The sequence below is a fragment of the Homo sapiens genome, chromosome 3 (genome assembly GCF_000001405.40).
Source record: "Homo sapiens chromosome 3, GRCh38.p14 Primary Assembly".
Classification (NCBI taxonomy): domain Eukaryota; kingdom Metazoa; phylum Chordata; class Mammalia; order Primates; family Hominidae; genus Homo; species Homo sapiens.
The window spans coordinates 195228232-195255234 of NC_000003.12; the positions used below are offsets into that span (position 1 = coordinate 195228232).

The 27003-nt window shown below is 47.1% G+C and overlaps 1 protein-coding gene across 5 annotated transcripts in view, besides 4 other annotated features; it reads right to left on the bottom strand.

Annotated features, from left to right (window-relative positions):
* Nucleotides 1–27003, bottom strand: part of XXYLT1 (xyloside xylosyltransferase 1) — a 202876-nt gene that overhangs the window by 159948 nt on the left and 15925 nt on the right. The window contains exon 1 of one of the 5 annotated variants that reach the window (NM_001308069.2): nt 19541–19625. The exons of the other annotated variants lie outside the window; for them this stretch is intronic. Within the exon in view, the coding sequence (NP_001294998.1) occupies nt 19541–19606 (66 nt within the window). The 5' untranslated portion in view covers nt 19607–19625. Of the gene's footprint in view, nt 1–19540; nt 19626–27003 lie in introns of those variants that run through there. 5 annotated transcript variants of the gene reach the window in all.
* Nucleotides 11811–12373: an enhancer, noted in NCBI's record as "H3K4me1 hESC enhancer chr3:194960771-194961333 (GRCh37/hg19 assembly coordinates)". NCBI's record gives its function as "activates a minimal SCP1, AML or CMV promoter by ChIP-STARR-seq in primed H9 embryonic stem cells {active_cell/tissue: H9 hESC(primed)}" and the evidence as "EXISTENCE:reporter gene assay evidence [ECO:0000049][PMID:30033119]".
* Nucleotides 23615–23664: a silencer, noted in NCBI's record as "silent region_15031". NCBI's record gives its function as "represses an Ori minimal core promoter by ATAC-STARR-seq in GM12878 lymphoblastoid cells {active_cell/tissue: GM12878}" and the evidence as "EXISTENCE:reporter gene assay evidence [ECO:0000049][PMID:35858748]".
* Nucleotides 24484–24533: an enhancer, noted in NCBI's record as "active region_21053". NCBI's record gives its function as "activates an Ori minimal core promoter by ATAC-STARR-seq in GM12878 lymphoblastoid cells {active_cell/tissue: GM12878}" and the evidence as "EXISTENCE:reporter gene assay evidence [ECO:0000049][PMID:35858748]".
* Nucleotides 25323–26110: an enhancer, noted in NCBI's record as "H3K27ac-H3K4me1 hESC enhancer chr3:194974283-194975070 (GRCh37/hg19 assembly coordinates)". NCBI's record gives its function as "activates a minimal SCP1, AML or CMV promoter by ChIP-STARR-seq in naive H9 embryonic stem cells {active_cell/tissue: H9 hESC(naive)}" and the evidence as "EXISTENCE:reporter gene assay evidence [ECO:0000049][PMID:30033119]".

A 27003-nucleotide genomic window follows, 5' to 3' on the forward strand; every position in this document is an offset into this window, starting at 1 on the left:
AAGCCACGTGAACCCCTGACTGCCCTGTTTACACTGTCACTTGCCCTGCCAGACAGTGGCAAGTGGTGCCCTTGAAGCTCTCCAATAGGCGGGCTCCACTCCATCACTCACCTTTCCCCTTTCCCTCCACCTGCCCTTCCAGTCTCAGGGTGCTGCCTGCACTACCTGCACTTCCAGAGCCATCGGTGGTCGTGGCCCTGTAAACCACCGTCTGCTCTTCCCTACTGTTGGTTCTGCTTTTGGCCTATATTTCACTTTTTTTTTTTTTTTTTTTTTTGAGATGGAGTCTCACTCTGTCAACCGAGGCTGGAGTACAGGGGTGCAATCTGGGCTCACTGACACCGCCTCCCGGGTTCAAGCGATTCTCCTGCCTCAGCCTCCCAAGTATCTGGGACTACAGACGCCCGCCACCACCCCCAGCTAATTTTTTGTATTTTTAGTAGAGATGGGGTTTCACCATGTTAGCCAGGATGGTCTCGATCTCCTGACCTCGTGATGCGCCCGCCTCGGCCTCCCAAAGTGCTGGGATTACAGGCATGATCCACCACACCCGGCCTATTTCCCTTATTTCTTCTATATGTATCTCTTTTTTTTTTTCGAGACAGAGTTTCACTCTTGTTGCCCAGGCTGGAGTGCAGTGGCGTGATCTCGGCTCACTGTAACCTCTGCTTCCCAGGTTCAAGTGATTCTCCTGCCTGAGCCTCCCAAATAGCTGGGATTACAGGCGCCCACCACCATGCCTGGCTAATTCTTCTACTTTTAGTAGAGACAGGGTTTCACCATGTTGGCTAGGCTGGTCTCGAACTCCTGACCTCAGGTGATCCACCCACCTCAGCCTCCCAAAGTGTTGGATTACAGGTATGAGCCACCGCGCCCGGCCTGTATCTCTTACATAGCTTATTTCTCTTATATTTCTTTTTAACCTATATCTCTCTTAGTTCACCTTTCCTTTTATTCTTGGGTCTCTTTTAATTTCTAAAACACTATTAAATTTAGAAAAACTTTGTTACTATTTTTTTATTTTTAATTTTTGTGGATAGAGTATGTATATATATTTATGGAGTATATGAGATATTTTCATACAAGCATACAATGCATAATAATCATATCAAGGTAAATGAGGTATCCATCACCTCAAGCATTTATCCTTTGTGTTACAAACAATCCAATTATTTTAGTTATTTGAAAATGTGTAATTAAACTACTTTTTACTGTAGTCATCCTATTGTGCTAGCAAATACTAGGTCTTACTCACCCTTTGCCAATATTTTTTGTATCCATTAACCATCTCCTCCTCCCCCAACTCACTCCACTACTTTTCCCAGCCTCTGATAACCATCATTCTAATCTCCATCTCCACGAGTTTAACTGTTTTAATTTCTACCTCCCACAAATAAGAACATGCAAAGTTTGTCTTTCTGTGCCTGGCTTATGCCACTTAACAAAACGATCTCCGGTTCCATCACTGTTGTTGCAAATGACAGGATCTCATTCTTATTTATGGCTGAATAGTACTCCATTTTGTATATGTACTGTTTTCTTTTTCCATTCATCAGCTGATGGAACCTTAGGCTGCTTCCAAATCCCAGCTATTGTGAATAGTGCTGCAATAAACATGGGGGTGCAGATATGTCTTCGATATACTTAATTCCTTTCTTTTGGGTATATATCTAGCAGTGGGATTGCAGGATCATATGCTAGCTCTATTTTCAGTTTTTTGAGGAACCGCCAATCTGTTCTCCATAGTGATTGTACTAATTCACACCAACAGTATATGAAGGTTCCCTTTTCTCTACATCCTCACCAGCATTTGTTACTGCCTGTCTTTTGGAGAAAAACCATTTGAACTGGAGTGAGATGATATCTCATTGTAGGTTTGATTTGCATTTTTCTGATGATCAATGATGTTGAGCACCTTTTCATATACATGTTTGCCATTTGTATGTCTTCTCTGGAGAAACATCTATTCAGATATTTTGCCCAATTTTTAATTAGATTATTAAATTTTTTTCCTACAGGGTTGTTTGAGCCCCTTATATAATCTGGTTATTAATCCCTTGTCAGATAGACAGTTTACAAATATTTTCTCCCATTCTCTGGGCTCTCTCTTCACTTTGCTGATTGTTTCCTTCACTGTGCAGAAGCTTTTCAACTGGATGTGATCCCATTTGTCCATTTTCACTTTGATTGCCTATGCCTGTGGTGTATCACGCAAGAAATCTTTGCCAAGTCCAATGTCCTGGAGAGTTTCCCCCAATGTTTTCTTTTGGTAGTGTCATAATTTGTGGTCTTAGATTTAAGTCTTTAATCCACTTTGTTTTTTTATATGGCAAGAGAGAGAGGTCTAGATGCATTCTTCTGCATAAGGTTATCCAGTTTTCCCAGCTTCATTTATTAAAGAGATTGTCCTTTCCCCAGTGTATGTTCTTGGAACCATTGTCAAATATGAGTTCATTGTAGATGTATGGATTTATTCCTGGGTTCTCTATTCTGTTGCATTGGTCTACGTGTCTGTTTTTATGCCAGAACCATGCTGTTTTGGTTACTATAACTCTGTAGTATAACTTGAAGTCACATCATGTAATTCCTCCAGTTTTATTCTTTCTGCTCAAGATAGCTTTGGCTATTCTGGGTCTTTTGTGGTTCCATATAAATTTTAGGATTTTTTTCCTATTTCTGTGAAGAATGTCATTGGTATTTTGATTGGGATTGCATTGAATCTGTAGATTGCTTTGGGTAGTATGGAAAGTTTAACAATATTGGTTCTTCCAATCCATGAATATGGCTTATCTTTCCATTTCTTGGTGTCCTCTTCAGTTTCTTGCATCAGTGTTTTATTGTTTTCATCCTAGAGAGCTTTCACTTGTTTGGTTAATCCCTAGGTATTTTATTTGTAGCAATTATAAATGGAATTACTTTCTTGATTTCTTTTTCAGATTGTTCACTGTTGGCATATAGAAATGCTAATGATTTTTGTATGTTGAATTTGTATTCTGCAACTTTACTAAATGTATTGATTAGTTCTAATCAATACATTTTTTGTTTTGTTTTTTGGTGGAGTCTTTAGGTTTTTCCAAATAGGAGGTCATATCATCTGCAAACAAGTGTAATTTGACTTCTTCCTTTCCCATTTGGATAGGCTTTATGTCGTTCTCTTGTCTGATTGCTCTAGCTAGGATTTCCAGTACTATGTTGCTATTCAACATAGTGGGCATCCTTGTTATTTCAGATCTTAGAGGAAAGGCTTTCAGTTTTTCCCCATTCAGTATGATTATTTGCTGTGGGCCTGTTGCATATGGCTTTTATTATATTGAGGTATGTTCCCTCTATACTCAGTTTTTTGAGGATTTTTATCATGAAGTGATGTTGAATTTTATCAAATGCTTTTTCAGCATCAACTGAAATGATCATATGGTTTTTGCCCTTCATTTAGTTGATATGATGTATCACACTGATTGGTTTGTGAACGTTGAACCATTCTTGTATCCTTGGGATAAATTCCACTTGGTCATGATGAATGATTTTTTTTTTTTTTTAAATGTACTGCTGACTTTGGTTTGTTAGCATTTTGTTGAGAATTTTTGCATCAGTGTTCATCAGGGATACTAGCCTATAGTTTTCTTTTACTGATGTGTCTGTCTGGTTTTTGGTATCAGGGTAATTCTGGCCTCATAAAATGAGTTTGGAAGTATTCCCTCCTCCCCTATTTTTCAGAATAGTTTGAGTAGGGTTGGTATTACTTCTTCTTTAAATGGTAGAACTTAGCAGAGAAGCCATTGCATCCTTGGCTTTTCTTTGCTAGGAGACTTATTATGGCTTTGATCTAATTACTTGTTATTGGTCTGTTCAGATTTTGGATTTCTTCATGATTCTATCTTAGTAGGTTGTATGTGTCTAGAAACTTATCCATTTCTTCTAGGTTTTCCAATTTATTGGTATATAGTTGTTCACAGTAGCCACTAATGATCCTTTGAATTTATGCAGTATGAGTTGTAATATCTCCTTTTTCATCTCTGATTTTATTTATTTGGGTCTTCTCTCTTTTTTTTCTTAGTCTGGCTAAAGGTTTGTCAATTTTATCTTTTCAAAATACCAAAAAAAAACTTTTCATTTCATTGATCTTTTGTATTGTTTACTCTGTTTCAATTTCATGTATTTCTGCTCTAATTTTTATTACTTCTTTTCTTCCACTAACTTTGGGTTTGGTTTGCTGTTGCTTTTCTAGTTCTAAGACGCATCATTAGGTGGTTTATTTGAACTTTTTCTTCTTTTTTGATGTAGGCATTTATAGCCATAAACTTCTCTTAGTACTGCTTTGCTGTATTTCATAGGTTTTGGTATGTTGTGTTTCTATTATCATTTGTTTCAAGAAATTTTTCAATTTCTTTCTTAACCTCTTCATTGACCAACTGGTCATTCAGAGGCATATTGTTCAGTTTCCATGTGTTTGTATAGTTTCCAAAATTCCTGTTATTAATTTCTAGTTTTATTCCATTGTAGTCAGAGAAGATACTTGATATTATTTCAGTTTTTTGGAATGTTTTAAGATTTGTTTTGCAACCTAGCATATGGTCTATCCTTGAGAATGATCCATGTGCTGAGCAGAAGAATGTGTATTCTGCAACTATGGAATGAAATGTTCTGTAAGTATCTATTAGGTCCATTTCGTCTATGGTGCAGATTAAGTCTGATGTTTCTTTGTTGATTTTCTGTCTGGATGATCTGTCCAATGCTGAAAGTGGGGTGTTGAGGTCTCCAGCTATCATTGTATTGGGGTCTATCTCCATCTTTCACTCTGATAATATTTGCTTTATATATCTGAGTGCACTAGTGTTGGATGCATATATAACTGTTATATCCTTATGCTGAATTGACCCCTTTATCATTATACAACAAACTTGTCTCTTTTTATATTTTTTTCTTGAAATCGATTTATCTGATATAAGTATAGCTACTTCTGCTCCTTTTTGGTTTCCGTTGGCATGAAATATCTTTTGCCATACCTTTATTTTCAGTCTATGTGTGTTTTTATAAATGAAGTGTGTTTCCTGTAGGCAATAGATCATTGGGTCTTAAAAAAAATCTATTCATTCACTCTTTGTCTTTTGATTGGAGAGTTTACTCCATTTACATTCAATGTTATTATTGATTAAGTAAGGACTTACTCCTGCCATTTTGTTATTTGTTTTCTAGCTGTTTTCTGGTCTTCCCTTTTAGTAAAGGTGATTTTCTCTGGTGTTATGTTTTATTTTCATGCTTTTTACTTTTTCATATCCATTGTATGTTTTTAGACTTGAGGTTGCCATGAGATTTGCAAATAATATTTTATAACACATTATTTTAAACTGATGACAAATTAACACTGATTACATAAACAAACATACTAAAAAACAAGCAAAAAGAAAACTAATAAAAACTCTATAACTTCATCTCCCCACTTTTTAACTTTTTGTTGTTTCTATTTACATCTTGCTGTACTGTCTTGAAAAGTTATTATTTTTGATTGGTTTATCTTTTCATCTTTGTACTTAAGATATCAGAAATATACACATTGCAATTATAGTGTTTTAACAGTCTGTGTTTTTCTCTGCACCATTACCAGTGAACTTTTCACCTGCAGATGATTTCTTATTGCTCATTAACATCCTTTTATTTCAGACTAAATAAATCCCTTTAGCATTTTTGTTTTGTTTTGTTTTGTTTGAGATGGAGTCTCACTCTGTCACCCAGCATGGAGTGCAGTGGTGCGATCTCGGGTCACTGCAAGCTCCGCCTCCCAGGTTCATGCCATTCTCCTGCCTCAGCCTCCCAAGTGGCTGGGACTACAGACGCCCGCCACTACGCCCAGCTAATTTTTTTTTTTTTTTAGTAGAGACGGGGTTTCACCATGTTAGCCAGGATGGTCTCGATCTCCTGACCTTGTGATCCGCCTGCCTCGGCCTCCCAAAGTGCTGGGATTACAGGCGTGAGCCACTGCGTCTGGCCAGCATTTCTTGTACGATAGGTCTGGTATTGATGAAATCCATCAAGCTTTTGTTTGTCTGGGTAAGTCTTTATTTCTCCTTCATGTTTGAAGGATTTTTTTTTTTTTTTTTTTTTTTTTTGAGACAGAGTCTCACTCTGTCGCCCAGGCTGGAGTGCAGTGGCACAATCTCAGCTCACTGCAACCTCTTGCCTCCCAGATTAAAGCGATTGTCCTGCCTCAGCCTCCCAAGTAGCTGGGATTACAGGCGTCTGCCACCATGCCTGGCTAATTTTTATATTTTTAGTAAAGACGGGGTTTCACCATCTTGGCCAGGCTGGTCTTGAACTCCTGACCTCAAGTGATCCACCTGCCTCAGCCTCCCAAAGTGCTCGGATTACAGGCATGAGCCACCGCACCCAGCCTGAAGGATATTTTTGCCATATATGCTATTTAAGTTTTTTCCCTTCAACACTTTAAGTATGTCATGCCACTCTCTCCTGGCCTGTAAGGTTCTCACCAAAAAGTCTGCTGCCAGACGTACTGGAGCTCTATTTTATGTCATTTGTTTATCTTGCTACTTTTAGGATCCTTTCTTTATTCTTGACTTTTGAGAGTTTGTTATTAAATGCCTTGAGGTAGACGTCTTTGGGCTAAATCTGCTTGGTGTTCTATAACCTTCCTGTACTTGAATATTTATATCTTTCTCTAGGTTTGGGAAGTTCTCTGTTATTATCCCTTTAAATAAACTTTCTACTGCTGTCTCTCTCTCTACCTCCTCTTTAAAGCCAGTAACTCTTAGATTTGCCCCATTGAGGCAATTTTCCAGATCTCGTAGGCAAGCTTCATTCTTTTTTACTCTTTCTTTTGTCTCCTCTGACTGTTCTTTCTTGCTTGCTTTCTTTTCTCGCTCTCTTGCTTTCTTTTTTTGAGACAGGGTCTGGCTCTGTCATCCAGGCTGGAGTGCAGTGGGGCAATCTTGCCTCACTGCAACCTCTGCCTCCCAGGCTCAAGCCATCCTCCCAGCTCTAACTGTGTATTTTCACATAGCCTCTTAAAGTTTACTATTTCATTCTTCTACTTGATTAATTCTACTATTAGGAGATTCTGATGCATTCTTCAGTAAGTCAATTGCATTTTTCAGCTCCAGAATTTCTGCTTGACTGTTTTTAATTATTTCAATTTGTTTGTTAAATTTATCTGATAGGATTCTGAATTCCTTCTCTGTGCTATCTTGAATTTCTTTGAGTTTCCTCAAAACAGCTATTTTCAATTCTCTGTTTGAAAGATCACATATCTCTGTTTCTCCAAGACTGGCCCCTGGTGCCTTATTTAGTTCACTTGGTGAGGTCCTATTTTCCTGGATGGTCTTGATGCTAGTGGATGTTTGTAGGTGTCTGGCCATTGAAGAGTTAGGTATTTATTGTAGTCTTTGCAGTCTGGGTTTGTTTGTACTCATCCTTCTTGGGGAGGCTTTCCAGGTATTCAAAGGACGTGGGTGTTGTGATCTAAGTTTTTGGTCACTGCAGCTGTATCTGCATTAGGGGGCATACCAAGCCCAGCAATGCCGTGGTTCTTGCAGATTTGTAGATGCACCACCTTGATGGTCTTAGATCACATCTGGAAGAATTCTCCGAATTACTTGTTCTCTTCCCTATCTCCCAGATGAATGCAATCTCTCTATATATCTATAAATATATAGACATAGACATAGACATAGACATAGACATAGACATAGACATAGACATAGACATAGACATAGAGATATACACCTGGCTGGGCTGCCTGGAGATTGGGGAGGGGTGACACCCCTGTCACTATCACCACTGGGACTGCACTTGGTCAGATCTGAAGCCAGCACACCACTGAGTTTTGCCCGAGGCCTGCTATAACCACTAGCTGACTACTCTCTATGTTCAATCAAGGCCCTAGGGCCCTACAATTAGCAGGTGGCAAAGACTGCCAGGCTTGTGTCCTTCCCTTAAGGGCAGTGAGTTCTCTTGGGCCCCAGGCAGGTCCAGAGATGCTATCTGTGAGCCAGGGCCTGCAATCGGAAGCCCTAGAAATCTGCCTGGTGCTCTATTCTACTGCGGTTAAGCTGGCAACAAAACCACAAGATAAAGTCCTTCCCACTCTTCCCTCCTCTTTCTCCAGGCAGAGGACTCTCTCCCTGTGTCCAGTACCACCACAGGCCCATGGGGAGTGCTGCCAGAGCGCCACCAATGTTCACTTAATGCCCAAGGACTCTTTAGTCAGCTTGTGGTGAATGCTGCCAGTCCTGGGACTCTCTTCAGGGCAGTGAGCTCCCCTCTGGCCTGGGGTAGGTCCAGAAATGCTATCCCAGAGCCAAGGCCTGGAACTGGGGACCCCAAGGGCCCAGTTGGTGCTCCCCCTATGTCTGAGCTGGTATCTAAGCTGCGAGACACAGTCCCCTTTATTCTTCCCTCTCCTTTACTCAAGCAGAAGGAGTCTCTCCTCGTTAACCACCACAGCTGTGAATGTGCTGGATCCCATCTGAAGCCAGCAGGTCTCAGAGTCTCACCCAAGGCCCATGGTATGTACTACCTGGTTACCACTGCTGATTATTCAGGGTCCAGGGGCTCTTTCGTCAGCAGGTGATGATTCCTGCCATTACTGGGTCCTTCCCTTCAGGGCAGTAGGCTCCCTTCTGGCCCAGGGTGTCTAGAAATGTCATCTAAGATCTAGGGCATGGAATGGGGGCCTCATGACTCTGCCTGGTGCCTTATCCTACCGTGACTGAGCTGGTACCCAAGTTGCATGACAAAGTCCTCTTTACTCTCCTCTCCTCTAACAGAAGGAGGGGGTCTCTTTTGGAGCTGTGAGCTGCGCTGCCTGGGTTTGGGGGATAGGGGATGCAAGTGCTCCCTGAGCCACCCTGGCTGGTGTCTCATTAGGTCATGTAACCCCCAAGTCCACTGGCTCTGAGCCCAGCACAGCACTAGGACTCACCTGGGTGTTGCAGTCCTTGTGGCCTGGTTTATTTAGAACCCAGAACACTTTAACCTATGGTAACAAGGCTTGCTGGAACTCAAGTTCTGACTGCTGAGATGGGTGATTCTCCTCTGTCTAGGCTGGTCTAAATGCTCCCTCCGTGGGCATCGGCTGAGTTCTACCCACTGCTGGCAGCAATGAGTTCCAATGCAAAGTCCCACAACTGCTGCACTCTCCTTTCCCCGTCACACAGGTTCTCTCTGAGCACCATGTGGCCACCGCCACAGGGATGGAGTCAGTGATCAAGACTGTCTTTCCTACCCTCTGCAGTGCTTCTTTCGGTAATATGAAGTTAAAACCAGGTACTGTGATCGCTCACCTGATTTTTAGTGCCCACGAAGGTGCTTTTTTGGTGTAGATCGTTGTCAAATTTGGTGTTCTTGTGAGGAGGATGGTTGGTGGAGGCTTCTGTTTGGCCACCTTGCTCCACCTCCAGCCTAACCATAAAAACCTTTTATGCCACATTGGTCCTCCTCATTCCCTAAAACTTGTTTTATGTAACACTTTAAATCTTCTGCCTCATTATAAAAGCCTTTTTAAAAATGTCTTCATGCTTCTCTTCTAAGGTACCGTTTCCTTTATCCTTTTCTGGCTACTGGTTTGTTTGTTGTTTGTTTGTTTTTAATACTTTTTTCCAGACACAGAATCCAGACCAGTTCCTGCTATTTTCCAACAGAAATCTCAAATTATGTTTCTCATTCCCACACCCCTCCGCTTCCTCTCACCCCTGCCCCTGCGACCTCTCTGACAGGTTTCCCTACCTCCTACCTTCCCCACTGCCCCATTCTGTTATACCTCCAGAATTGTTTTCCAAATAGAGAAATTCGTTTTTCTCTCTCCCTGGCTTCAAGACCTCCGACGACTCGTCGCTCCCTTAGTTACAGTCCGAATCCTCTAGCAAGGCCTCTAAGCCGCTGCAATAGTGGTTCTGGCCCCGTCCCCCGACCTCCCCGCCTCGTGTGACTGGGCAGCACTGAACCAGGCAGTCTCCCGTCTACTGGCCACACCTGGATGACCTACATCCTTGCATGCCTGTACTTGCTCTTCCCACCGTCTGTAATTACCTCTCCCAGCCCCCATCTGCCTGGTAAGATCCTATCCAGTTTTCCAATCCTCCCCTCCAGCCTTCCCACAGCCTCCCACAATTCACCAGGCCCTTCCTAACACCCTGCATCGCATGGGGGCTCCACTCACCCTGTCTGACTCACTTTTCAGGGCTCTGTTTCTCTATCGGCTGCATGGGGCACTCCTCGTAGGCAGAGGCCGTGACTGCTCTGTGCCCTGTATCCAGCCACTGGCCACATGACAGGCCACCCATACATCCATACAGGTTTGCTAAACTAAGTGAACTGCACTTTGGGCAAGTAACTAAACCTCTCTGAGCCCCAGTTTCTTCGTGGGTAATACAGGACTGTCACCACATGCTTCCTGTGGTGTCTGTCAGGGCCATGTGGAACACACATTGAGCCCGGGGGTTGCCACACTGTGCTTACTCCTAAGTGTTAGCACCAAACCTCCTCCCAGTCCCCGAAATGCCTTCTCCCCACAGATCAGTTTTCACTCCTAAGCCAGCTTTTCCCTCCCTCCAAATCATCCCTATCCGTTCGAATTACACAGGAAGCTGGAAGCTGACAAGAGGGTTCTCGCAGAAGGGAAGGCCTCTGTGTTCACTAAGCAGGAAGAGAAAGAACGGATCTGCGCAGGCATACACGCAGAGCAGGGCTGCTGCAGCCAAACTAAGGGAGATGAAGAGCTATCCTCAGCCAGCTCACTCCCTACTGGCCCCATCTCACCCCAAAGCTTCACAGGAGACAACTGCATCCCATCAGCATGAATAGACTTCTGAGGACAAACTGTACTCAGTACATTGTTCCAGACGCTGTGCTGCCAAGCCTGCACCCATGAATATTTCATATAATAAATCTGCTTAAAGATAAATGAGTATGCTTCATGGAATAGACTTTATGCAGCAAGAGGCAAATCACAGACCCTGCAAGTGTGAATCAAAATACCCAGGCCTCCCAAAGACTAAAACAGGTTTGCAAACTAACCTTCCCAAGGATGGGCTGGCACCTGTCATACTCTGGGGTCCTTTGCCCAGACCAGGGGCTGATGCCTGGCAGTGCGGCAGGGGGCAGCAAAGCAAGAGTGAAGAGAGGAAATGAGAGGGATGGGGGAGAGAAAAGGCCACCCCTTCGACCTCCCCTCCTCCCTTTCAAGTCCCCCACCTCGAGAGCTGCAAGAAGAACATACAACCTGGGAAACCAGGAATATAAGATGACTTCCATACTGAAGGCAATTAGCCAATGAGAAGACACAAAACAATAGTTAATGCCAACCTGGAATATATGATTTTTAGGAATGTAGACAAAAAAGTCTGATCACGATTTGTAGGTTTTATTAATTTGTTTACATACACATACTTAAAAATCCTGTTGACTATAAAATACTATTTCCCACACCCAGCTTACAAAATAATTTCTCTTCAAACCCTTCGTGTGCATCAACAGCAATGCCTTTATGAAGCCCAGAGTCAAGCTGAGCCACCCAGAGCACGTCCTCCTCACCAGCTGTTTAGGATGTGTTGGATACGGTTCCCTGTGAATTTATGTAGAATGTTGGCATCAGAAATGTCACCCCAACCCACAAGAACCCATGTTCGTATCATGAGGGCAGTTGGGTGTTGTTTTTAATCACCTAATGACATTTCTCAAAGTAGGGTTCTTCACCGGCCTATAATCATATATTTGTAGCCATTCACTAACCTTCAGGAATATCCCACCCCAGGAATATCCTGCCCCAGAAATGATTAAATCTGTGTTAAATTTCTCTGCCTACTTTTATTTTTAATTACTTCTGCATCTAAATTCAGTAATGACTGAGCTTTCTTTTCAGGCAAAGGTGTCCTCAAACAGTACTTTGTTGTTCAAACTAAAATATGTAACCGAGAAAGTGCTGTGTGATATAAAAGACCTTGGAAAGGCTCAACTCTTTCGAAAGGGACAGTGTAGGGAGGAGGGGAAAGAGGTGAAGCTTGCCTCATATTCTACCATGCACAGCAAACTCAACACTTGTGATGCAGGGAGGCTGAAGCATCCATCAGTCATGGCAGAGCCTGGTGCCAGGCAGAAGCAGGCGTCTTTGCCACCCAGCCCTGTGCTCGCTGGCACTGAGATGCCTGAGAGCCAGGCCACCGCTCCTCTAAACACTCCCTGGGGACATAAACTCAGGCCAAGCCTTTAGCTCCATTTGGTGGAGAAAACTAATTTTATCACTTGGCCGGCCCCACTGGGAGTCAGGTCGCAGCCACACTCCTGAGCCAAGAAGGCACGTGGCAAGGGCTGGCCCCACGCACGGAAAGATGCCAGGTTTCCCGGAAATCCCAAGGCCTGTTTGAAGAACAGCCACTCCTCTGGCCACAGACAGCAACGCCACAGGTCGGCCGGAGGCCAAGGGTTCACCCATCTCCTCCCCATGCGCCGCCAGAGACCATCCCCCAGCACAGCTATTGGAGGGAAGGTGGTGGCACAAAGCTCAGGCACACTCTACCCAAGTCCAGCAATCCTGGTGCCCCTGCCAATGCTGAATCCACCTCCTGAAGGAACCATAAACTGGGGGACTGAGGCAGGAGGATCGCTTGAACCTGGGAGGCGGAGGTTGCAGTGAGCTGAGATTGTGCCACTGCACTCCTGCCTGGGCAACAGAGCAAGACTCCATCTCAAATAAAAAAAAGAGTCACTAAAACGCTCCAAACCTATAGGTAGATCAAACACAATTCTGAACGGAAGAGGTCTTAATGTATCAGAAAAGTCACTAAGTAAAGACATCTGCCTCCCAATTGGAAATGGCCTCTCCCACTCTCCCACTCTCAGGCCTCGTCAAGCCTGGCAGAACACCAAGGCCGACCTGAAGAAGCAGGGCGGGTCTTTCAGGACCGACACCTACTTGGCACATTCCCAAGGAGGAGCTGTTCACACCTTCTTGAAGCAAGGGCAGGTGCCCTGTGATGTCTGGTATCCATACACTTGGAGGACAAGCAAACAAAATGACAGGCTCTGAGGCTGGTGGTTGGGGACACAATAGACCCCACTATGGGCCCCACAGGATTTAAATTAGGGCACAGCTATTCTGTGTCCTGATTTTCATGTCTGAAATTGTATCAAACGTGTTTCCTTAAAGGAAGTTTTCCTGGAGCAACAGACAGATGATTGAGTGATGGATGGGCAGAGCTACACTACCTATTGATCTCTCCCCAAGGCTTGTCAGCAATTCCAACAAGAACTGGAGGAAAAATGACTTTCTGGGAAAACAAAACAAAACATTGTTTTCCAATTAACCTGCACCAAGAATGTGAAGGCGCATTTCCAGAAGCGAAGAAAAATCTGCTAACGGACTAGGAGTCTTTCATTCCTACACCCATGCCAGACACCTGAACACCCCAGGGCCTATGCACTGTCTACTCTGCTCAGAGAACCCTCCCCCAGAACCTTCTGCCTGAATCCTTCTAGCCATTCAGGTATCAGTTCAAACGTCACCTCCAGAGATTTTCCCTCACCAAAAAAGTAGCTACCACCCTCACCACCAACACACACACACATGCGCACAACACACACACACATGCACACAACATACACAGACATGCACACAACACACACATGTACCCATCAGTCCTGGCTATTGCATGACCAGATTCATTTCCTCCATAATACTTATCACCAGACATGTCATATTTTTCAGTGTTTAGTCACTTACTGCCCATCTCTCCCCAGCTCCCAGCCAGCCTGTAAGGCACCATGAGGGCGGGACCTTGTCTGTCGTATTCATTGCTGCATATCCAGCTCTTAGTCAAGTGCTTCCCATGCAGTGGAGGCTCTGTAAATGCTTGCTGCAGGTAGGAACGAGCAAATAAAGGGGCAGAGAGGAGGGGCGATGGGACAACTGTTTCAGACACAGAATGTTGCCCCGTGGCCCCGCAGCACCTGGGAACTGAGCAGTTCCTTCTGACCCCAGCATCTCCCCCGGGCATGTCATGTGCTTCTCCATCCCAGCCCTCACCCAAAGAGAGAGATTTCTTCCACATAGGACTTACTCTAAACATTCCGGAGCACAGGCCTCCTTCTCACCTTTAACCTGCTAGACAGAAGACCCGGGCTACAATCACTCTCTTTGTCAGTAGGAGCTGTTGCCTCAATTTTACACCCAACCTGCAAACTACTGATACGACTTTGATGACTGGAGCAACACCAGGGTTCTTGGTCTTGCGCCAACAGGATCAATGACATGGACACATGAGGAGTGGTTTTAAGGAGCGAAAAGTTTAATAGGCAAGAAAGAAGGAAGAAAGAAGGGAACAGCTCACCCGTACAGAGACAAGGGATAGGGTTTGGAACAAGGAGAAACAAAGTGCAGTGGAAAAGCGGGGGTTCACATGGGAGGCTGGAGGAGGTGGGGTCTGATCTGCATAGGGCCCAGGGAATTGATTTGTCCAGGTATGTTATTTACACAGCCCGCAGAAAAACCTGGCCCTCCCACCTTAGCCCTTTTAATATGCAAATGTAGGGTGCCATGATGTTCTGAACACAAGGTGTTATCTGGAGGTGGCCATAACACTTGCTACACCCAGTGACAAGAACAGGGTGGGAATCGCCATGTTGAGTGAACCCAGTTTCTAATGGCTGGCATTCGCATATCAAAGCTTGCTGGCCCAGCCCTTCAAGACGCCTTTTCTGTTAGAAAAGAGATGGTTCGGCAACCCAAATGCCCATCAATGATAGACTGGATTAAGAAAATGTGGCACATATACACCATGGAATACTATGCAGACACAAAAAAGGATGAGTTCACGTCCTTTGTAGGGACATGGATGACACTGGAAACCATCACTCTCAGCAAACTATCGCAAGGACAGAAAACCAAACACCACATGTTCTCACTCATAGGTGGGAACTGAACAATGAGAACACTTGGACACAGCAAGGGGAACATCACACACCAGGGCCTGTCGTGGGGTGGGGGGAAGGGGGAAGGATAGCATTAGGAGATACACGTAATGTAAATGACGAGTTAATGGGTGCAGCACACCATCATGGCACATGTATACATATGTAACAAACCTGCACGTTGTACACATGTACCCTAGAACTCAAAGTATAATAAAAAAAAAAAGAGATGGTTCGGGGGTTGTTTCTTATTATAAGAAAATTTCCACCGAGAACCTTTACCTTAACTGTCTGCCTAAAAGTTATTCTTAATAACTTCTCTATTACTACTTCAGAATAGCCATGCCCGAATCTAAAATTTATGTCTGAAATTATATCAAAGGTGTTTCCTTAAATGAGGTTTTCCTGGAGTGACAGACAGATAATTGAGTGATAGACGGGTAGAGCCACAGGTCTATTGATCTCTCTTTTCTTAGTCACTAACATGTCCTGAAGACACTATCAGTGGCTGCCTGTTGCCCCCACCAATAACTTGAGCTCACTTTGAAAACAAAGGTCTGCAAGGGTAAGTGGTAAATGCTCTGAATTTGGTTAGCTTTAAATGGAAAAGGTAACAGTCATAATGGACGTGCAGTTTTTACAAGGAAAGAAAAAGACAGAACCACAGGCTGGGCCCCTCCCTCATGTGACGATTATCGCTTCTGCAGGATGTCCTGGATGGACTAGTAATTGAATTTTGTCAGGCAGCACCACAAACAGCTGAGAGGGGAAAAGCAGCCTGCCCAGCTAATTTCTAAAGCCATGTCCAATATCCATTCTCACAACCTACTTTACTGACAGTTCAAAAGTGACAGCCCCTCCTCCCCACGCTGTCCTCACTGCACGACGTCCAATCGTTACCTCCTCACCCTCATCTCCACCTCGTGCTTACTGAACCATCACTAGTTTCTAGGTAACCAGACCTGCAATGAACGTTCTAGGACTCCTGCAAGATTGCCATTGTGTCAGCAGAGATGGGCCCTATTCCAGTCATCCAAAACCTTGATATGACCAGGGCAGGGTAGGAGCAAATGTAACACAAAGACACCGGCCCACTGGACAGCAGGTGATGAAACGTCACATGTCAACAGGACGGCGTGTCTCCAGCAAGCCTGCAAGCTTCACCCTCGCTGCAAGGAGGGCAGCTCTGGGTCCTGGGTCTCCAGCTTTGCTGCACGCACACATGGCTCTTGCTGGGGAGACTTATTAAAACACAGACTCCAGGGTACTGAGCACAGAGATTCTGAGTCAGGGTCGGCAGTCAGGCACAGGAATCTTCATTTAAAAACCACTCCCGGCCGGGCGCGGTGGCTCATGCCTGTAATCCCAGCACTTTGGGAGGCCAAGGTGGGTGGATCACCTGAGGTCGGCTGTTCGAGACCAGACTGACCAACATGGAGAAACCCCTGTCTCTACTAAAAATACAAAATTAGCCAGGCGTGGTGGAGGGCGCCTGTAATCCCAGCTACTCGGGAGGCTGAGGCAGGAAAATGGCGTGAACCCAGGGGGCAGAGCGTGCAGTGAGCCAAGATCACACCACTGCACTCCAGCCTGGGCGACAGAGCAAGACTCTGTCTCAAAAAAAAAAAAAAAAAAAAAAACATGTTTCATTTAAAAATTTTTAAACTTTAGATCATTATGACAAATACAACATGAGACTCTGTCTCAAAAAAAAAAAAAACAAAAAAAAACCCACTCCCGGCCGGGTGCGGTGGCTCACGCCTGTGATCCCAGCACTTTGGGAGGCCAAGGTGGGTGGATCACCTGAGGTCGGGAGTTCAAGACCAGCCTGACCAACATGGAGAAACCCCCGTCTCTACTAAAAATACAAAATTAGCCGGGGGTGGTGGCACGTGCCTGTAATCCCAGCTACTCAGGAGGCTGAGGCAGGAGAATTGCTTGAACCTGGGAGACGGAGGTTGCAGTGAGCCAAGATTGCACCATTGCTCTTCAGCCTTATGTGTAGCCCAAGAAAATTTTTTTTTTTTTTTTTTTGAGACGGAGTCTCGCTCTGTCACCCAGGCTGGAGTTCAGTGGTGTGATTTTGGCTCACTGCAATCTCTGCCTCCCGGGTTCAAGCGATTCTCCTGCCTCAGCCTCCTGAGTAGCTGGGATTACAGGCACGCACCACCACGCCCAGCTAGTTTTGTATTTTTAGTAGAGATGGGGTTTCACCATATTGGCCAGGTTGGTCTTGAACTCCTGCAAGTGATTCGGCCCACCTCGGCCTCCCAAAGTGCTGGGATTACAGGAATGAGCCACTGCACCTGGCCCAATTCATCTTCTTCCAGTGTGGCCCAGGGAAGCCAAAAGACTGGACACACCTGTTCTAGAGTGTCCCAAGGAGGCAAGGGGTCCAGAAGCCATTTAATTTGAGCGGCAGCTGAAGGAACTACGGGTGTTTGCCTCACGTGGGAGTGGGAAGAGGCAGAGAGGATGATATGTGTGTCTCCTCCAAATCTCATGTTGGAGTGTGATTCGCAACGCCGGACTGGGGCCTGGTGGGAGGTACGGAATCATGGGGGCGGGTCCTTCATGAATGGTTAGCACCATCTCCTTGGATGTGAGTTAGCTCTCGCTCAGGCGGTTCACGGCAGATCTGGTTGTAGAAAGAAGTGTGTGGCACCTCCACCCGCCTCCACTCTCTCCTGCCCCTGCTCTCACCCTGTGATGTGCCTGCTTCCCCATCACCTTCCGCCATGACCGGAAGCTTCCTAAGGCCTCCCGCAGAAGCAGGCGCTGGCACCACCCTTCTCTACAGCCTGCAGAACCATGAGCCAATTACACCTCTTTTTAAAATAAATTACACAATCTCGGATATCTCTTTATAGCAACGCAAAAATGGTCTAATACAGAAGACAACACAACCACACACACACCTGCTGATTTATTCTCTTCGCCTCCTTCTCCATCTAGCACACTGGTGTTTACACCAGGTTTTTTCTTGCCTGTAATGAAGGGAGGATAAATGGCTAAAATAAACCCCTTCTCTCTTTCAAAATCTCAATTTGCTTTTGACTCAGGCGCTCCTAACAGAGCAACAATCAAGCATCGGTCCCCAGGAAGACAAGGCTGTCACGACTGGAAGAAAGAAGACCTGCGCAAAGGATCCAGTGCCCTCTCTGTGCCAAGTGTGGCCAGACCTGTTCTTCTTCCCCTCACCCTGCTCGTGTCTTCCTCACCTCCAATGGCAAGAGGGTCTTTGGCAAGCAGATACAGAGACGAAGACCGTGTAAGCACAGCAATACACAGTGTGTCTGTCTTGTAGGTACGGCACCTTGTGGACCTTCAAACACACGGGCCTTCCAGATGAATTTCCAGGATGACCATGAGGAACTATGGCAAACCAGCAGGATGGAGCCATGTCCCTGGAGGGAGAGCAAGACTCAGGGGAAAAATGAGAGGAATGAGCAGTGAGCAGAGGCAGAGGGGGTGAGCCCCGGACACTCCTCCAGGCTGATGAGGAATAAACCACAAGGCAGCTCCAAAGGAGAGGCGGGGGTGAGCAGGGGTCTGTGCTATCCTCTGGACTCTCTGTGTGTTCATGACCAGCCAACAGTGATGTTACAATGTGGCCACATGGCCTTCCAGACACCGTGACACAGGCTGAGGGGTTCCACAAGCATAAATCCAGGATTTCTTTAACACGGTCTATCCAGCCCCCACAGCCACAGCCAGAGAGCCAGTCCCAGACTCCCGGCGCCACTCGCCACCTGCCGCTCCAGCCTCCTGGTCCCAATTTCTGTCTCTCCACAGAGAAACATTACAAATGCACGGAGTCACTCACCATCTGTTTTTGGCACTCACTAAAGAATACTCTGAGTGAACTTTTTTGAAATAATCCTTGCACAGTGGGTAGAAGCATTCCCTAATTCACCTTTTCTATAAATCATGTTTTGCTTTTTGACATTTAATACTAAATTTTCCGGACAGTAGAAGCCGTTTTTCTACAAAATAATGTGTTCCACCCCAAAAAGGAGGGGAAGAGGTATGGCAGCGAGGGAAAGACAAGAAGGAGGTGAGATGGGAGAAGAGGGCGAACGGCCGTTCCAGGATTTCACTGTGAAATCTGAGGGTGGTCGGTCACAGTCCACGTATTCACCAAGCCGAGCGGTGGGAGGGCCGTGAAGGCTTCTTAGCCAGATTCCTCGATTTGTCCTTTTTTCGTGTGGGAACCATCCCATGACCTATGACCTCCAAAGAACACTGCAGTTTTACCATGAGTAACACCCAAAGGAGGCACTGAGCCAGATTCTGTCCCGCAGGCAGGAAGGTGGCCTGGGCCGGGAGGCTCGTCCCCATCTTCCGCACCTCACCCTCGTGCACAGCTTCCTCTAGGGGCCGGCCTCTCTTGAAACTGGCATTGAGCCCCAGTTCCGAATGGCCCCCCACCTCCTTCCTGGCTCTCTGGGTTGGGGACACAGCTGGAGCCCAAGGGGGAGAGCCATGATCCCCAGACAGCCCTGCCAGGCTCGAACCCTCCGACCCCAGGGCAGGCTCAGCTGCTGTATTAGCCTGTTCTCACACTGCTGTAAAGAAGGACCCAAGACTTGGTGATTTATAAGGAAAAGAGGTTTGATGGACTCACAGTTCTGCCTGGCTGGGGAGGCCTCAGGAAACACACAATCACGGCGGAAGGGACACATCTCACCATAGTGCAGCAGGACAGAGAGAGAGAAGGGGGAAGCGCTACACACTTTCAAACAGCAGATCTCCTGAGAGCTCACTGACTCTCACGAGAAGAGCAGGGAGGAAGTCCCGCCCCTGTGGTCCAATCACCTCCCACCAGGCCCTTCCTCTGACACGTGGGGATTACAATTTGAGGTGAGATTTGGGTGGAGACACAGCCAAACCTTATCAGCCACTTTCCAAGGCTGCCTGCTCTCCTGGGTTTCACAAAGCCGCTCATCCAGTGCTCGCTGAGATTGGTACACACACATCCAGAGGGGTGCAAAAGGGCGTCCTGTGGGCACACGGACCAACCACTTAGATACTTACAGGCTTATACTGTTGTGCAAAGTACTAAGAAGAAAGCTTTAGAACTTTGACTTCAACAGATACTACCTCAGGAGGGGCTAAGGAGAAAAGAAGAAGAAAAAGGAGTTGACATGGTTTGGCTGTGTCTCTCCCCAAATCTCATCTTGAATTCCCACCTGCTGTGGGAGGGACTGGGCGGGAGGTAACTGAATCGTGCGGGCAGGTCTTTCCCGTGCAGTTCCTGTGAAAGTGAGTAAGTCTCATGAAATCTGATGGTTCCGTAAGGAGGAGTTTCCCTGCACAGCTCCCGCTTCCCTGAACAACAACACCACCACAAAAGACGGGAGTTTCTCTTATTTTTTTGCCTGCTGCCATCCATGTAAGACATGACTCACTCCTCCTTGCCTTCCACTATGATTGTGAGATTTCCCCAGCCACATGGAACTGTAAGTCCATTAAAATGCCCTTTTTCCTTGGCCAGGCGCAGTGGCTCACACCTGTAATCCCAGCACTTTGGGAGGCCAAGGCGGGTGGATAACCTGCAGTCAGGAGTTTGAGACCAGCCTGGCCAACAGGGTGAAACGCCGTCTCTACTAAGAAAATACAAAAATTAGCTGAGTGTGGTGGCAGGCACCTGTAATCCCAGCTACTCGGGAGGCTAAGGCAGGAGAATCGCTTGAACTCGGAGGGAGGAGATTGCAGTGAGCCAAGATTGCGCCACTGTACTCCAGCCTGGGGGACAGAGTGAGACTCTGTCTCAAAAAACAAACTCCTTTTTCCTGTATAAATTACCCAGTCTCGGGTATGTCTTTATCAGCAGCGTGAAAATGGACTAATACAGGAGCCAAATTAAAATATACGTTAAGTAGGTAATACTGCAGACAGCTCTAGGGCACTGGGAAAATGCAGGAAGGAAACATGCAGACGGAATTGTAGATGCCCTATTCACATCCATCGCCTCCTTTTGTGGGTGAGACACTGTTTAAAAGGCCAAGTGCGGCACCAGCAGCCAGGGGGAGTTCAACACGCTGATTTCCCCGCCTGACGTCAGAACCTACTCACCTAATTCACCTAATGTCTCATCTAAAGCCTCTAACTAAATCCCTTCCTGTAACTTCAAAAGGTTACACCCACCAGGCGATGTTCAGGATCTGGCACTTCTCTAAGCAGCACCATGCTGTATAAAACAGGCATAGGGCTCACATCAGGCATACGGCTCACATCAGCACACAATGGCCACGCGGCTCACACCAGGCGCATGGCACGTGACAGGCACATGGCACACTGGCACCTGCTCTTCATGGGATCACAAAGAAAGGAAACATGTCAGGCAGCAACGTAGATGGACATGAGCTCATCTCATCCTCACCATAACCATGCCCCGTGGAAAGGAGGCAGTCGTGGCCAGAGAGGGGAAGGTCCCTGCCCAGGGTGACTAGGTCGATGGCCAAAGCCCAGATTTCAGCCCACGTCTCGCCGATTCCAGAACACACTCAACCTTTCAGGCACAAGGGTTGCCCTCGCTTCACTTGTCCTATTTGACTCCTTCATTAAGGGGCACAGCTCCCACTGAGCCTGCTCACTACAAACCCAAGCGCTGTCAAAAGAGGTAAACGTGTGGTCTGTAGCCCTCTTGATGTCACATACTTCAAGTCCACGCATAAATAAACTCTAGTGGAGAAAACCTCAACATCCCAACCTAGTAGCGGCCCTTTCCTGATGGATCCAGAATCCCTCCACCACCCACCACCACCACAGCTTCCCCAGGCCAAGCACCATCCTCTCTCCCCAGAGCCAGGGTGATGGCCTCCTAAGGGTCTCCCCAGCATTCTACTCTCCACACGGAGGCCAGAGCCCTCCTCCTCTGACCCAGTCAAAGCTGGAATCCTCACTCTGATGCAGGCTGGGAGCTGCCCTCCTCCTGCTAGCTCTGGCACTGATGTCCACTGTGCTCACCCAGGCCACACTGCACTGAGCCTCCGACACAGCAGCCCCTCACACCTGCTGCCCAGATGCTCCTCCCCAGGGCTGCCCAGCCAGCTCCTTCTTTCCTTCAGGTCTTCACTCAATGTCACCTTTTAGTGACAGCTTCCCTGCCCATCCAATTAAAAACTGCAACTGGCCGGGCGTGTTGGCTTACACCTGTAATCCCAGAACTTTCGGAGGCCGAGGTGGATGGATCACGTGAGGTCAGGAGTTTGAGACTAGCCTGGCCAACGTGGTGAAACCCCGTCTCTACTAAAAAATACAAAAATTAGCTGGGCGTGGTGGCACATGCCTATAACTCTAGCTACTTGGGAGGCTGAGGCCAGAGAATCACTTGAACCCAGGAGGCAGAGGTTGCAGTCAGCAGAGATCGCGCCACTGCACTCCAGCCTGGGCGGCAAGAGTGCAACTCCATCTCAAAAAAAAAAAAAAAACACTGCAACCACCCCCATACTCCTGGTCCTCTTCTCCTGCTGACACACGGTATAATGTACTCACCTGCTAACATACTATATGATTTATTCATCTGCTTTTCATGGAACAAAGAAATGAAACCTAACCTTTTATGAACCCCTACTTCACTGTCTCCCAGGCAGCAAACGAGACATTTTAACAGCTCATCTAGTCCTCTTCCTGCCAGGATGTAAGCGCTACAAGGCAGGGACTTTTCACCTGTTCTGTCTCTTCTGTTCATTGATACACCCAAGTTCCCAGGACAGCACCTGGCACATAGTAGATGCCCAGGCTGAATGATGGCTTCAGATAGCAGCAATACTGGACGGGGTTACATGGATCTTAAAAATGCTCATCTCAAAGCAGCACTCGTTTGCCTCTGGCTTTTGTGAATGACCCACAAGGACCAACCTAGGCTTCCCTCTGTCGGCATAAATGTGCACTGGCCAGACGGCCCTGGGATCTGAGGACTCCCTCAAGCTACATGAAAGCACAGACCATCTCACTGAGCACAGCTGCAGGAAGGAGACAGCCAAGTCATCCTCGCACGAGGCCCCTGCTGCCCCGCGGGCAGGTCCCCCACCTCCACCCCACCTGCTGGCTCCCCAAGGCTCAAGCCTAGCAGACCATGGTTAGGAAAAGCAGAGACCACTTGCTAACTGCAAAAATCAAGTGGATGACCAATATGGGTAGAGCCAAGCGGTCACCCAAATCACTCATGTGACCCCATGTGTTTCTGACAGGGAAGGCGGGGCCCAGCCAGGTGGAAAGGGGCTATCCACAGGTTAGGCAGCAGGTCCCTATAGGAGCCAGCCCAGAAGCCAGGCCCCCGGCCCTTCTCATACAGCCCTGCACCTGCCCATGAAGGGAGTGAGGCCAGGACAGACGCCTGTGAAGCTGCGCTGAGCACCGGGTCCAGACTTCAGTGAGGGGCTGCTCCGCCTGCAGCTGGAGGCACCCTCCTCTCTACCCTCCACAGAGACTCTGAACGCTCTCGGAAGGTTGGCCCCAGTGTCTGCACAGCCAGGAAGTCTGAGGTGGCACAAAGGAGCCACGCAGGTCTGCTCTCAAAGTTTCCCTCCTATCCTATTTCCAAAGTTGCCCCCAAGCCTCTACTACCTCCTGCCTCAAAGGCAGCAAGACCCACACCAATAAAAGGGAGTCTCCGCCAAGTGCTCAAGAGAACATGGAATGGGAAGGGGAACAGCCACCTGGAGGGGAGCTCACCAGGGTCCTGCAAAGCAGAAGATGCACACACCCCAGGACCCAGCAGCCCCTTCCAGGCGTGACCCTGGAGAGCCTCAAGCACATTGTTCGCCTGGGTGTTCACAGTAGTGGGAGTGACAAAACAGGGGAACCACCCGGCCATCTCTCAGAAGGCAAATGAGTAAACGGAGGTCCACCCACAATAAAATACTACACAGCAATTAAAATGACAGGGCAAGACTTCCATGTATCAGCAAAGATAAATCTCAAAATCATAAGGCTATGAAATCTCATACTCACAATGAAATGTCAAATGGATATATGAGACTGTTTACATAACTGCTGAAAACATACAAAGCAGTAATACATATATATTTTATGCATACATATGTGGTAAAAATTAAAAACATACAAATTGCACAAAACACCAACTTCTTATTTGTGACAGTAAATACCTCTGGAGGGAGTAGGATGGAGAAGAAATAGAGTGAGCTTTAGCTACGTCTATAATATTTTATTTCCTTAAAAAAAGAATCTTAAGCAAATAGAGAAAAATGTTAGCACCTATTTAACTTACACAGTAGAAACAAAGATATCTGTTACTTTTTTTGTTTTCATTTTTCTGTTTTGGCTTATTTTAGAATTAAAATTTTTTAACATCTAAAAAATATATCGTGAGAGGCAAAAAGCGGGGCTGTGTAATATAAATTAGCAGGAAAAATTCTTTATAATGAAGAGGCAAGAGAGTGGGCACTGAGGAGCAGCCCTGATAGACCTGATCTTCACATGTGTTAATTTGTGGGAACAGGACCACATAGGACTGGGAAGTGTTTCTTGTGGAGAATCAAGGAAGGTTCCTGGGAACAATTCAAAAGAAGAAAAAAAACCACACACACACACACACACACACACACACACACACAGAGAGAGAGAGAGAGAGAGAGAGAGAGATTCACTGTGGTGTTATTTATTGTGTGAAAAAAACAGAAACTCACAGCTCAGGTTACAAAAGAAATATGACTATAACGTATGCTACAGTGATATGAACAATAAGCTGGAGACAGGGCAGGGGCGGCGAGGCGGGGAGGCGTTTATGGCATACGCCACCGCAGGTGGGTCCCCTATTCAGTAACGTGAGTAGAGAACAAAATTCCCCTGCTCTATCCAAATTAGGCCTGCAAGAAACAAGGGCTCAAGGGAACGTGGGAAAATGAAGACGGTTTGTTGAATGAGATTTACAGCTTTCCACTACCTGGAGAAGCAAGTCACAAAGGGCTCTCCGTGGAGCCCAGGCACTGCACCCCAGCTGCCCGCTTTTCTCCAAGCACTTTCTCCTGCCCTTTTCTTGGACCCTCCCTCTCCCCGGGGCCCAGGGAAGGCTGCCCTAAGCACTGACTCCTCTCCTGGGGCAGTGAGATTTCCCTCTCATATTTCCAGGCTGGAACAAATCCCCCAAAGACTCCCGTAAATCAGGTCCAGATGCTGCACATGTCACAGAAAAAGGCTGAGAAGTCAACAGCTCCAGAAATCAGGAGGCGAAGCGGCAAGATCCCGTTTCATTTCCCAAGGCCCCTGCTTAAGACACAGCCTTAAGCAAAAGACACGTTTTCATTTTGCATTTGCCTTAAAATGTCTCCCAACTCTCTGAGAGCCACATCAGTTCTAAAATCTTCAACTGCTCACATTTCTTTTTTTTTCTTTTTTTTTTTTTTTTTTGAGAAGGAGTTTTGTCTCCCAGGCTGGAGTGCAGTGTTGTGATTTTGGTTCACTGCAACCTCCGCCTCCTGGGTTCAGGCAATTCTCCTGCCTCAGCCTCTCGAGCAGCTGGGACTACAGGTGCCCACCACCACGCCTGGCCAATTTTTGTATTTTTAGTAGAGACGGGGTTTCACTATGTTGGCCAGGCTGGTCTCGAACTCCTGACCTCAGGTGATCCGCCCGCCTCGGCCTCCCAAAGTTCTAGGATTACAGGCGTGAGCCACCGCGCCCGGCCTGTTCACATTTCTGATCAAAGCGAAAGCCACTCAGTCACTCAGTGAGCCCAAAGAAGAGACCAGTAAGCAGGGCCAGCCTACCTGGCAGTTTACATCCTCTGCAAACGCTGCTCAGCAAATTCAACTATGTAGCCAATCACTCTTCCCTCAAGTGAGTTTTAAAGGGTAACACCAGAGGGAAACGGTGCTCTCGGACAAGTCACGGGGGTGCCCACTGCCCAGCTGTGCACCAGGGGGCACCCCCACTGGGGTGGGGAGATTTCCCTCTCACATTTCCAGGCTGGAACAAGTCCCCCAAAGACCCCCATAAATCAGGCCCCAGGGGGCCCTCAGCGCTTGGAGACTCTGGCCACAGACGTCAGCAGTGACTGCCCAGGCCTGGCAGGTTCTCCAGGGCCTCAGCCCCAGGGCCTGGGACCAAAGCCCCACCCTGCACTGACCACAGGTTAAATTTGCCCTGAAACTGGGGTCAGCAGCAGAAACAACACGCCCCTCACCCTCCCAACCACAGGACGCAGGCTCGAAGCCTGACGAGGTGATTTTCAAAGTACCATCTGCTCCTGGGAAGCCATTCCCTGAGCCGGAAGCTTGTTCCTTTTCCCCTGTGAGGAAACTGGGGGCCACATGGCATCACACAGAGCCCTCTGCAGGCTCAGTCACCCTCTCACTCTTGCTCAGCACGTCCACGGGGCATAATTAAGTCTGTAGGCTGCGGGATCTCTGTGCCAAAACTGCTCTTTTGTTTCCCAAGGTGAAGCATCTGGAACCTGGGCATCCAGGCAACAGGCTCGCAAGGCCCAGATTCAGGGGCAGCCACCTGCGCCAGGCTGGGACCTGACACAGGGTGAGCAGGTGAGCCACTGAGCAGGACCATGAGGTGGCATGCTAAAGCTGGGCACAGCCACCAAGGGTGGGACACAGACCTGCAGGGCCTTCACGGGGCCAGGGCAGTGCCTAAGGGTCCACCTAGCACGCGTCAAGCACAAACAGCTGCGCTGTGCACATTCAGTCACTTAACGTCGCCCTCACACCAATGTTTTGGGGCAGGTGATAGGACTGGGCCCCTGCTACAGAGAGGAGGTGGTTCAGAGAATGTAAACAACTACCCCCCACCTCCCAGAAAGATGAGGTAGAGCCAGGATCTAAAGCGGCCCATCTGTAGCCAACACCATACTCATTCAAGAGACACACGCCCATTCCCACACCCGCTGCACAGGAAAGAGAAAGAAGTCAGACTCGGACCCTGTCCCCAACTGCCCCAGGCTGGGAAATTCACCAGCACTGCGGACAGAGCAGGGGATAACAGCAGCATCAGAAAGACCCATAAGGCCATAGGTTTGCAGAGGGAATGCAGTCCCTCAGCAAGGAGCTTCAGTCGGACTAAACCAGCAGAAAAGGCGGTTTCCGAGTACCATGCTCGCACAACAGGGAGCCG